This window comes from Homo sapiens, chromosome 5 (assembly GCF_000001405.40).
Source record: "Homo sapiens chromosome 5, GRCh38.p14 Primary Assembly".
NCBI lineage: Eukaryota > Metazoa > Chordata > Mammalia > Primates > Hominidae > Homo > Homo sapiens.
In genome coordinates, this window is record NC_000005.10 from 168,217,796 (window position 1) to 168,229,053 (window position 11,258).

General features: G+C 45.0%; 1 protein-coding gene and 1 long non-coding RNA gene across 34 annotated transcripts in view, besides 1 other annotated feature; one reads left to right on the top strand and one right to left on the bottom strand.

Moving 5' to 3' along the window:
• TENM2 (teneurin transmembrane protein 2) overlaps positions 1-11,258 on the top strand; it is a 1,285,129-nt gene that overhangs the window by 1,238,767 nt on the left and 35,104 nt on the right. For all 33 annotated transcript variants that reach the window (XM_047417418.1, NM_001395460.1, XM_017009661.2 and 30 more), the window contains 3 exons: positions 330-1,204; positions 8,293-8,468; positions 10,100-10,335. In XM_047417418.1, the coding sequence (XP_047273374.1) occupies positions 330-1,204; positions 8,293-8,468; positions 10,100-10,335 (1,287 nt within the window). The remainder of the gene's footprint in view (positions 1-329; positions 1,205-8,292; positions 8,469-10,099; positions 10,336-11,258) is intronic.
• LOC124901128 (uncharacterized) lies at positions 8,815-10,104 on the bottom strand. The gene is made up of 2 exons (XR_007059038.1): positions 9,939-10,104; positions 8,815-9,670 (listed from the first exon to the last, which is right to left on the bottom strand). It is a non-coding gene; the product is annotated as an uncharacterized LOC124901128 (long non-coding RNA).
• Positions 10,557-10,646: an enhancer, noted in NCBI's record as "active region_23586". NCBI's record gives its function as "activates an Ori minimal core promoter by ATAC-STARR-seq in GM12878 lymphoblastoid cells {active_cell/tissue: GM12878}" and the evidence as "EXISTENCE:reporter gene assay evidence [ECO:0000049][PMID:35858748]".

An 11,258-nucleotide genomic window follows, 5' to 3' on the forward strand; every position in this document is an offset into this window, starting at 1 on the left:
CAGTGAACTACCTGTGCAACCATATGTAACAGCTCTGATGCTGGTCCAGCCATCTGGAGCTGAGAAGCAGCATCATAGGTAGAGCTGATGGCCTGTTCTGGTCATGGCAGGTGACACGGTAGAAAATATATATTATATTATCTCTTCTTCTCCATCACACCCACTCATCATGGGCAATGAGCAGCTGGTTCAATGAAGAGCATTTCTAATACAATGTGTTATTAAAAAGCTGTCTTTTTTCCTAGATATATAAAACCAGTAAGTGCCGTACGGTTAAACGTTGGACATATTAAAGGCTGTTCTTTAATCTGATACCACGTCATCCACAGGTTCGTCTGGAGTGGCCAACAGACCTTGCTGTCAATCCCATGGATAACTCCTTGTATGTTCTAGAGAACAATGTCATCCTTCGAATCACCGAGAACCACCAAGTCAGCATCATTGCGGGACGCCCCATGCACTGCCAAGTTCCTGGCATTGACTACTCACTCAGCAAACTAGCCATTCACTCTGCCCTGGAGTCAGCCAGTGCCATTGCCATTTCTCACACTGGGGTCCTCTACATCACTGAGACAGATGAGAAGAAGATTAACCGTCTACGCCAGGTAACAACCAACGGGGAGATCTGCCTTTTAGCTGGGGCAGCCTCGGACTGCGACTGCAAAAACGATGTCAATTGCAACTGCTATTCAGGAGATGATGCCTACGCGACTGATGCCATCTTGAATTCCCCATCATCCTTAGCTGTAGCTCCAGATGGTACCATTTACATTGCAGACCTTGGAAATATTCGGATCAGGGCGGTCAGCAAGAACAAGCCTGTTCTTAATGCCTTCAACCAGTATGAGGCTGCATCCCCCGGAGAGCAGGAGTTATATGTTTTCAACGCTGATGGCATCCACCAATACACTGTGAGCCTGGTGACAGGGGAGTACTTGTACAATTTCACATATAGTACTGACAATGATGTCACTGAATTGATTGACAATAATGGGAATTCCCTGAAGATCCGTCGGGACAGCAGTGGCATGCCCCGTCACCTGCTCATGCCTGACAACCAGATCATCACCCTCACCGTGGGCACCAATGGAGGCCTCAAAGTCGTGTCCACACAGAACCTGGAGCTTGGTCTCATGACCTATGATGGCAACACTGGGCTCCTGGCCACCAAGAGCGATGAAACAGGATGGACGACTTTCTATGAGTAAGTGGGTTTGTAAAGCATCTCTGAAGAGCCCTTCCCTTGCCCTAGCTGGCATTAGGACTGGGTCGCTTGTGTAGCTTTTTAAATTGCTTTGTCACGTTGTCTTTCTAACTTTAATGATGTCTTATGGCCTCAAGACATTCATGTCCCCTCTCCCTGACTCTGAAATGATTTGCTCTAATGGATCTCTGATATTGAGCATCCTCCCTACTAGAGTTGGGAATTCCTGTTGCCTGCTTGCCGTTCAAATTTCAGGATATTGGACATGCACAGCACCTGGGAGGTAAAATGTTGATTAACTTTGCTGATTATTCAAGTTTGCCATGGGTGCGGAAATTAGAATCTAAAAGGCAAGATCCCAGTGGGGTTCCTGTAATTTGCCAATAGGTCCAGCAACACACTTGATTGCACAGACAGGTAGATAAACTCTGAATTTCCTCCTTAGCAGAAGCAGATCGATACAGATAAAGCATTAGGTATATTAAAAGATGCGAGAGCTGGTCATATTTCCCCTAACAATTATCTCATACTTAATAGTCCTGACGCTTGTTTTGCAAAAAGCTGTTTTTCCTAGCTCCTGCAGGCAGTTCTTGGTCAAAGTGTCTGCTGCTGTAGGTACTAATGGTGGGATGCTGGTTGGAGGAAGTTACTAGGCATGATTCTCCCAGTGGCTGGCTGAGACTGGAGCAGAATTTATAAATATCTGGCTCTCCTAGGTGATGAAGGAGTGTGTTAACCCCTGTGTACTTGGAGTCCTTGCTTGTGTTTTGTCTGGATGCTGCTGCTAGCTCAGAATGTAGTTAAGTTAGGGAGAGTTGGCACAGCAAAAAAAAAAAAAAAAAAAAAAAAAGCGGGGGACAAGAGGGAGAACAGAAAACCTCATTGTTGATCATTCCTAAACCCGGCAATGTTTACTTCCTGTTTGTATGCCAATGGTCTTGGGAGAATGTAAAAGGAAGCTGTTGCCACCTGCTGGATATTTAGTGCATTGCAGAAGAATTGCTTCCCCTGGTTCTGACTTTCTTCTTTGGGCAACTCTTTCTCAAGCACCTTAACGATGCTTGAGATTTCTGAAGCATCTTAATACCCTTCAGGACACTGTAGTTTTGATCAAACTTTACCAGCCAGTGATTCTGCCCTCGAGGGTACCATCCGAGTGCTGTCCTTGGCTCTCATACCGAATTAGGCTGAAGCTATACACTCACCCAAACACCTCCGAGATTTTCATCTTCCTTTCTGACAGTTTCAACCAAAGACCTAATGCATTTCAGAAACAATTTGTTGGCTCTCCTGAAAGAGGGGGAAAAAACATCCCTCTCAGGGAGGCCAGCCTGAACTGGGCCTGGTTTACAGACTGTCATAAAGAAGCTTGGGTTCAAGTGCATCCACAGATCTGAACTCTAAAAGGGAAAGTATTTTCCAGAAAGTGTCCCTAGTTTAATGAAAACATAGGCATGACTCGTAATTGTGTTTTAAAATGTTCAGAAGTTACATTGAAACTGAATTTTTTTATCTTAATTTGATAAGCTGCCCTTTTTTTCATAATGTAGATAAATCCAGTGATCACAAATTCTCCATTGTGGGGTTCAAATGTATAGGGTTTTCTTTTCTACCTGAAAAGATGGTGAGTTCTTTTTGTTTTATGGCACTTTTGGCACATGATCAGCCAATTGGAAGACACACAGCCAACTTAAAAATCAGACATAACTTCACCTCCTGTCAGGGCAGTGTGGTCAAGACCAACACTGCATAGCCTTAGCCAAAACTTTAGAGAAAGGGTGATGAAGAAAACCACACAGAGGCTGTGAGGCTACTAGAAAAGTCTGTCCTGGTCGGGAGTGATGCCTCATGCCTGTAATTTCTGCACTTTGGGAGGCTAAGGCAGGAGGATCACTGGAGGCCAGCAGTTTGAGACCAGCCTGGCCAACATGGAAAAACCTCATCTCTACTGAAAATACAAAAGTTAGCCAAGTATGGTGGTGCATACTTATAGTCTCAGCTACTTAGGAGGCAAAGGCATGAAAATCACTTGAACTCAGGAGGTGGAGGTTGCAGTGAGTTGAGATCACGCAGCTGTACTCCAGCCTGGGCGACAGAGCAACACTCTGTCTCAAAAAAAAAAAAGAAAAAGAAAGAAAGAAAATGATTTGTCCTTCAGTGAGAGCTTCCTTAGGGGGATTCCTCTCTTCCCACTCTGTTACAGGGGGCAGAGTACAAATCCCCCTATAGGTGAGAAGAGTGGCCATATCTTTTTTTTCTGCATAGAACATGAGGTACAGAAGCCATTTATCTGCCGTGTTGTCACAGTGACTGTCTAAATATGGATTTGATTATCCCCATTTTATTGATAAAGAAACTGAGGCTCAGAGAATCGAAGTGACTCCCCTAAGACCACACAGGGAGTTGGTAGTGAAGCAGGACTGGAATCCAGATCTCCAAGCCCAGCGTTCTTTGCATTGCACACTAGCGTTGTAAAGCAGGGCTATGAATGGAATTTGTAACTCCACCTTCAGACTCCACATGGGAACTGTCCCTGAATTTTTGGGAAGATGTAACTCAATAAGACCAGCCTATCAATGACTCTGGAAGCAGGAGAGAGAAAGGGGTAGGAAAAAATAACACTATCGAATCTTCCTGGACCCATTTTATGATCAGCCAGTTCCAGAAACTTCCAGGACATCCAACCGTGGAATTAAGATTTCCCCAGATGCAGGCCACTGGGTCTTGATAGAAGAAGTATCCTGATTTAGTTTCATCCCTGAGGGAACTCAGGTTTTCACAGTCTTCCCCAAAAGGCAGCATCTTATACCAGAAAGCTCCTAGGTCTTAGGACCAGGATGACAGGGGTGTGGAGTCCATCTCTGCCACATGCTTACTGATTGACGTTGGACACGTTATTTAACCTCTCTGAGCCTCAATGTCTCATCTGTTACATGGGGATAAAAATGCAAATTAACAACAGGAGCCCTGTGCTAATCCACTGAGATAATACATTTTTAGAAATTAGCAAAGCGCTTGGCATATAGAAGTTTAACTCAGAGTATAGGCTAATGGGATTTGAGAGGAATTATTAAGCACACCTCTGTCTCCTTCCTACCCCTCAGGTTTCACTCAACTAACTGTAGAGTGGATACAAGAGTCAGACAGATAGAGACTTATTTTGGAAAAGCAGAATTGAAGAATGCAGCTTGCACATTAGGTCTTTTTAATACCTCACTTTGCATTTCTCCTGCTCTCTTCCCACCTCCCAGTGCTGCCTGCTGGTCTCTCATCCCCTGCAGGAGCAGAGTCTGCCTTAGCAAACTTCGGGCTCAGAGGGGCAGAAAAACACATCACCCTTAAAAAGAGGCCCTCCAGAAGACAGAAATGATAAAGAGCCTCTTTAGTCATGTTCAACTCCTTCTCCCAATCCAGCAACTGGGGAAGGGGCAAATGTCAGATCAAAGGAAAAGATGGAAGTTGACTTCCCATGGTGTGGGGTTCAAGAGTGATTTTACAGAATAAGCTGCCATGCAATTCATGAAGGCTGGAATGGGCCCCTTTAAAAGTTGCCTCTCTCTCCTCTTTGTCCTGGGAAGTGAAGAGCTGGGCAGAAATAGAGCTGATACAGAATGCCTTTTGGAAACCCTATCATGCCTGCTAAGTTCCCAGACTAGGGAAGATGCATCTGTATTCCTGAAAAGAACAGTACTGTCCTTAAAATTACACTCTCTACTCCCTATACTCTCTCCTTCTCCACTCCCTCCCTTCTTTATTTTAGTCCTTAGCACCTATTACTCACCATCTGACATGCTGTCTATTTTCTATCTTGGTTTAGTTTTGCCCTCTTCAGCTAGCATGAGTGCAAGAATTTTGCTCCATTTTCTTCCCAGCCGTATCTCCAGTGCCTTGAACTGTGTTTGGCACATCACAGGTGCTTGATGAATATTTATTGACTACATAATTCAAAGGCAGCCTCCAGCCCCACTCCAGCCAAGGCTGGGCCAGTTCCATTGGGTTGGCATTGAGATCCCATTGCTGGAACTTACAGCGCTTCACTCCTACATGCAGTCATTTGCAAAAAGACCTACATCTGAAGACGTTCCTTGGGGGAAGTAAGTAGAGCTGGAGGCAGCCGAATCTTCTTAAAAGTTAAAGAAAATCTGTTTTTCTCCCTTTGGCCCATGAGATTCTAGTCCCTACCCTAAAGCTCTGCTCCCTAAAGTAGAAACTCCAATTCCTACTACTTCTCTCATAAGGAAACTCAGCAGCCTATGCATTGTAAGTGTCCCCAAACTACAGTGGATTGGAATTAAAATCCTTGCCCTGGTCCCAGAGAATGTACTTGTCAGCAGGAGGAGAAACTGTCTGTTACTGAGTACCGCACTAGACACCCCGTATCCAAATACTTAGAATTGCTTTGTTTTCTGATGTTTTAAATACCTTTTGTTTCTGTTTATTAAACATGAAAGTATTGATTACAAGTAATTTCTTTTTTTTTTTTTTTTGAGACGGAGTCTTGCTCTGTCGCCAGGCTGAAGTGCAGTGGCACAATCTCAGCTCACTGCAGCCTCCGCCTCCCAGGTTCAAGCGATTCTCCTGCTTCAGTCTCCCGAGCACTGGGACTACAGGCACACGGCACTGCGCCCAGCTAATTTTTGTATTTTTAGTAGAGACAGGGTTTCACCATGTTGGCCAAGATGGTCTCAGTCTCCTCACCTCATGATCCACCCGCCTCAGCCTCCCAAAGTGCTGGGATTGATTACGGGCACAAGCCACCATGCCCGGCTGATTACAAGTAATTTCTAAATTATGGGAAAATGCAAAGAAGAAAATGAAGATTCGTCAAAATTCCATACAGCAAAACCACCATTAACATTTAAATGTCTATATTTTCAGAGAATTTCTGCTCCATATAGATACTGATATTTTTTACCCCTCCCTGAAAAAAAAAGCTACTGTCAAGGGAGTATATTTTGTACCCCACACTTCCACTCAACACGTGTAGATTTGTGTATGCCAATAAATAGAAACCCATGTTGTCGATCCTGATGGCTTCATAGGTTTCTACTTTATGGATAGATCATCAGTTATTTAATGAATCTCCCATCAAGGAACATCTAGGTTGTTCTAATTTGTCACTATTGTAAATAGCACCTTTGTCCCCCTGCCTGAGAGGTGGCTTCTTTAGCAGGTAAGAAAGCACAGAGGAGCCCTATTGATTTAGCAGACCTAAGTCCCCATCCCTGATTACAACACCAGGGCTTTCCAGGGAGTGCATGGTCTGCGCCACCCCATGCCTGGGGCCCTGGGCGAGTGATAGCGGTGGATCCTGAGCTCACAGACATTCCTGCTCCAAGATCTCCCTCCTCTCTCCCCCAACACCTTTAGGCAGCGCGGTGTACAGCTTAATGTGATTGCACTCTCAGCTTTCAAACTTCTGCAGAGCTTCACTGCTTCTAGTTCTTCCCAGAAGCAAAGTTTCTCAGATCCCTGAAAGCCTGAGCCAGGTCTGCAATTCTTTATTCCAAAAACATTTCCTGAGTGCTCTCTGTCTTTGATGTTGTCATCCTAAGCCCTAAGCGACAACATCCAACAGGCCACAGCGGTCCTTTCCACCGCTCACAGGCCCTCCCCACAGGGATCCTTCTCTGAGGACCCCCCATCCCCACGCGCTGCACAAGCTCCAGTTCCCATCCCTCAGACCCTGCCAGCTTTTTCCCTCTCCCCAGTCCAAAGGGAGTAACCCGCAGGAGTTGAGCCACTTTCCCTTCTTTTTTACCCTCCAAGCAAAATGTCTTCATAGCTCCGCCTTCTTCCTCCCCTTCCTCCTCCAGTAACAAAACTCATCTGGGAGAGCTCAAAGGCCTGGAAACGAGCCTGCTTTCCTTTCCTGGGTGTGAGAAGGGCCCAGCTCTCAGAGTACAGTGGATCTTCCAAAGTGGGGAAAGGCTGTCCCAACTAGAACAAGGCTTCTTGCTAAAGGTGATGTGGGGAGAAAACTCCACGGTGTGAGAAAAGAGGAAAGACGACACATATACATAAAGAAGGAGGCCCCAGTGTCAGGCCATTTGCAGGCAGTAGGGCATGATCACTGGTGTCCCTAGACTTACTTGGGTGCTAAGGACAACTGCTGATGGTAAGGGAGTCATTGGGAAACTGTCTAAGAAGGCTGCTTGGGAAGTGGAGCCATGGCGGTTTAGTGGGGACCAAAGAACAGGTTCCATGCAGCCAGGCCTTCTATGCTGAGCCAATTTGTGCAGGTGGCATTTGGCACAGGCTGATTGTCCAGAGGCCTAGGAGATGACAAGTGAGACAAGGTTGGACTCCAGTAGAAGACTCAGGGCATGGATGGTCTCAAATGCGAGATTTTTATTTGATTTAGCAACCAATGGGAAAAGAGTGTGGTTTGTTCAGCAGGGAACTGACATGGTGAAACTGCTATTTGGGGAATATTGATTTGATGGCTTTGTAGAAGACCTAAATTAAAAAACAAGAGAGGGCCAAGTGCGTGGCTCACGCCTGTAATTCCAGCACTTTGGGAGGCCAAGGCAGGTGGATCACCTGAGGTCAGGAGTTCGAGACCAGATTGGCCAACATGGCAAAACCCCATCTCTACAAAAAATGCAAAAATTGGCCAGGCATCGTGGTGCATGCCTGTAATCCCAGCTGCTCGGGAGGCTGAGGCAGGAGAATTGCTTGAACCCAGGAGGTGGAGGTTGCAGTGAGCGGAGATTGTGCCACTGCACTCCAGCCTGGGACAGAGTGAGACTCCATCATCTCAAAAAAAAAAAAAAAAAAGAAAAGAAACAGAAAAGTAAGAGAAGCTCACAAGTGGCTGTTTTCTCTAACTAACTAGAGGAAGCCTGAGACCAGGTGAAATGTTTTCCAGGAGCTGAAGTCAGTTATATCAGCGGGTAGAAGAAAGCATCACAGCTGTTTCTCCGGGCATAATAGGGTTTTGACTGTGACGAGGGGCCTCAGTGAGATGCGCCACCCAGCCAACCCACCTTCCCAGCTCTTTCTCTGGCCCTGTGAGTCTTGGGAACACTGTCAGCCCCAATGACTGCTGCTAACCAGGGTTTATCTATCTATCTATCTCCCCCCAGCTATGACCACGAAGGCCGCCTGACCAACGTGACGCGCCCCACGGGGGTGGTAACCAGTCTGCACCGGGAAATGGAGAAATCTATTACCATTGACATTGAGAACTCCAACCGTGATGATGACGTCACTGTCATCACCAACCTCTCTTCAGTAGAGGCCTCCTACACAGTGGTACAAGGTGAGCCTCCACCCATACCATCCTACCCCCAAACTCACCCATAGACCCAGAACCCAGCCAAGCCCAACATGTGAGTTATGCAGCCTGGGAGGACTTCCAGAGACCCAGCGTACCCCTAGCTTTCTATTTTATTCAAGTGTCCACAGCAAACTATAAGAGGTCAATCTTGTAGAAAATGACTTAATCAGATAGAACAGAATGTCATCTACACCCAGCCAAATGTCTAGATATTTGAACTGTCTACATAGTTATCTGAAAATGTCCATTTCCACCCGCCCCCCACATACTCTCTCCCTACCTCTTACCCTTCCATCACCACCTCTCCCCACCAACCCAAAACACATAGTTATCTTCTCAAAGGCCATTTATTCTCCTGGCTCACCACTAGACTTCATATTTTCTTGTTCCATCCTGATTCTCTCTTTTAAGCATTTGTTTGATGAGTTGGTTGCCCTGGGACTGGAGCTCTTTAACATTCTCTCTCCAAGACTGGGATCTCAAAGGTCTCTGCCCACCCTGTGGTTATTGTTGCTACTAGACATGTTTTGCAGTCCAGGGCAAGCACTGGGGCTGGCAAGAAAATGAATTGTGCCGATTAATTTTTCTTTTAATTAAGATATAATGTCGGTGGGCTAGCCCGTTGTCAGAGGATAAAAGTGTCCTCTCAGTAGATAAATGGTGACATTTCTGGACTATTATCCCACAGCGGAGCCTGTTTCAATGACTCTATTTCTGCTCTGCCAAATGATTAATGATGTAGATTCTGTCCTTCTGCGTGTGACGGCTGGAGTCACAGGAGCGACAGGTACACACTTGCTCACTGCCCCAAAAGCTGACATCTCAGAGGCCAGCCCAGGCCAGCTCCTTTGCCCAGACAGTCAGGAAGCAGTGTATCTGTAAAAGGAGTCTCTGACTCACATTTCCTTCCCGTAACTTTTCGGTAAAGGAAAAGGTCAGACGTCTGATTGACTCGTGTAGTTTCCACTGGGGAAGATAAACACATTATCAGCACCCACCCACTGACTCCAGCTCCCTGATGTATTTGAGTCTCTTCAGAGTTCTCTTGAGTGGGGGTGGTATCAGGTGCAGTCGGCAGTAAAAGCATGAGGATGGGGAAGGTTGACTTCTTCTCTCCATTTTCTCAAAGAAAGAATCCTGGGCTTTGATTTGTAGTGGATCTGGCCTGTGGCTAGACCAGCAACCTTGGGTTAGACGGCAGGCAAAAGGAGGAAAACTGAAGTCATTTGCCTTTCTTTTTTTTTTTTTTTTTCCTGGTATAAGCTAAAATATATATGTTAAGCTTCGGGAATTTGATTGACACAAATTGTGTAGGCAATAGACATCTTTAAATGTTTAAACGTGCTATTAATAGTCTTCAGTGAGTAAAAGAAACATCACGGCATAATTATTTCTGGAGTGCCACATATTATGTTTTTCTTTACGTGGATCAGTAGTATCTCTGCTACTTACCTTCACATGGTATGTATGTGTGCTAATTGAAGGCAGCCTTCGACTAATGGCTGCAAAGTACCATGGAAACCTATTAAAAAAAAATAGGGGTTCTATTCTCTTCTGACTAATAGAGCGGATAATTTATTTCCCTATCCCCACCCCCACTTACATTTTTCCAGATCAAGTTCGGAACAGCTACCAGCTCTGTAATAATGGTACCCTGAGGGTGATGTATGCTAATGGGATGGGTATCAGCTTCCACAGCGAGCCCCATGTCCTAGCGGGCACCATCACCCCCACCATTGGACGCTGCAACATCTCCCTGCCTATGGAGAATGGCTTAAACTCCATTGAGTGGCGCCTAAGAAAGGAACAGATTAAAGGCAAAGTCACCATCTTTGGCAGGAAGCTCCGGGTAAGTGGTTCCACCCAATCTGTTACCACAGAGTGGGAGGGGATATACACTTTCCTCACAGAGCTGAGAAAGTTTCTCTGTTACCACAGAGTGGGAGGGGATATACACTTTCCTCACAGAGCTGAGAAAGTTTCCCAGCTTCAAAGCCTCTAATACCCCTTTATTCCCTGGAAAAGGCAAACTCTCCACTCAGAAGGTAGAATCCATCTCCCTTTGGGACTCATACCTTGGGAAAAACGTTCTCCATTTCCATTTCCTAGGACTGAAAAAGGCGGCCATTTCCTGCTATGGGGATTTACATTACGCTGTAACTAGAGACAGCTTTGGTCTTCTTTTCACACTTGCTGTCTTCTTCTTCCTCAGTTTTCACTGTCTGGCCAGTTCAACCAATGAATTGGTGTTCGTGCCTACTATGTGCTGAGTAATTTGCTAAGTGCTGGAAGAACAAAACTTTTAAAGTATGTTCTTTGCACTCAAGGAATTGAGGGTCTGATAAAATATGCAGACACAGGATGATCACAGGTTAAGTGAAAAGACAGAGGTACATGCAGGGTCTGATGGGATCCCAGAGGGATGCCACTCAGCCTGAGAGGTTCAGGGAAGATTTCCCAAGAGGAAGTAACAACTGAACCTCAGTGGGGAGTTTTAGCCAACCCTCGTTTTCCCAGACCAGGCAACTTGCCCCACGTGACATCTTTTTAAAACCAATATATAACATTAATTATATTATTATTATAATTATTATATAATGTAATTTTATATTACATTTTTATATTATAATGTAAACCCTATATTATATTATAATGTATAATTATATACATTATATGTATACATAATATACATATACGTATACATAATATACATATATAATACATTATATGTATACATAATAATATACATTACATTATATATAATTACATATA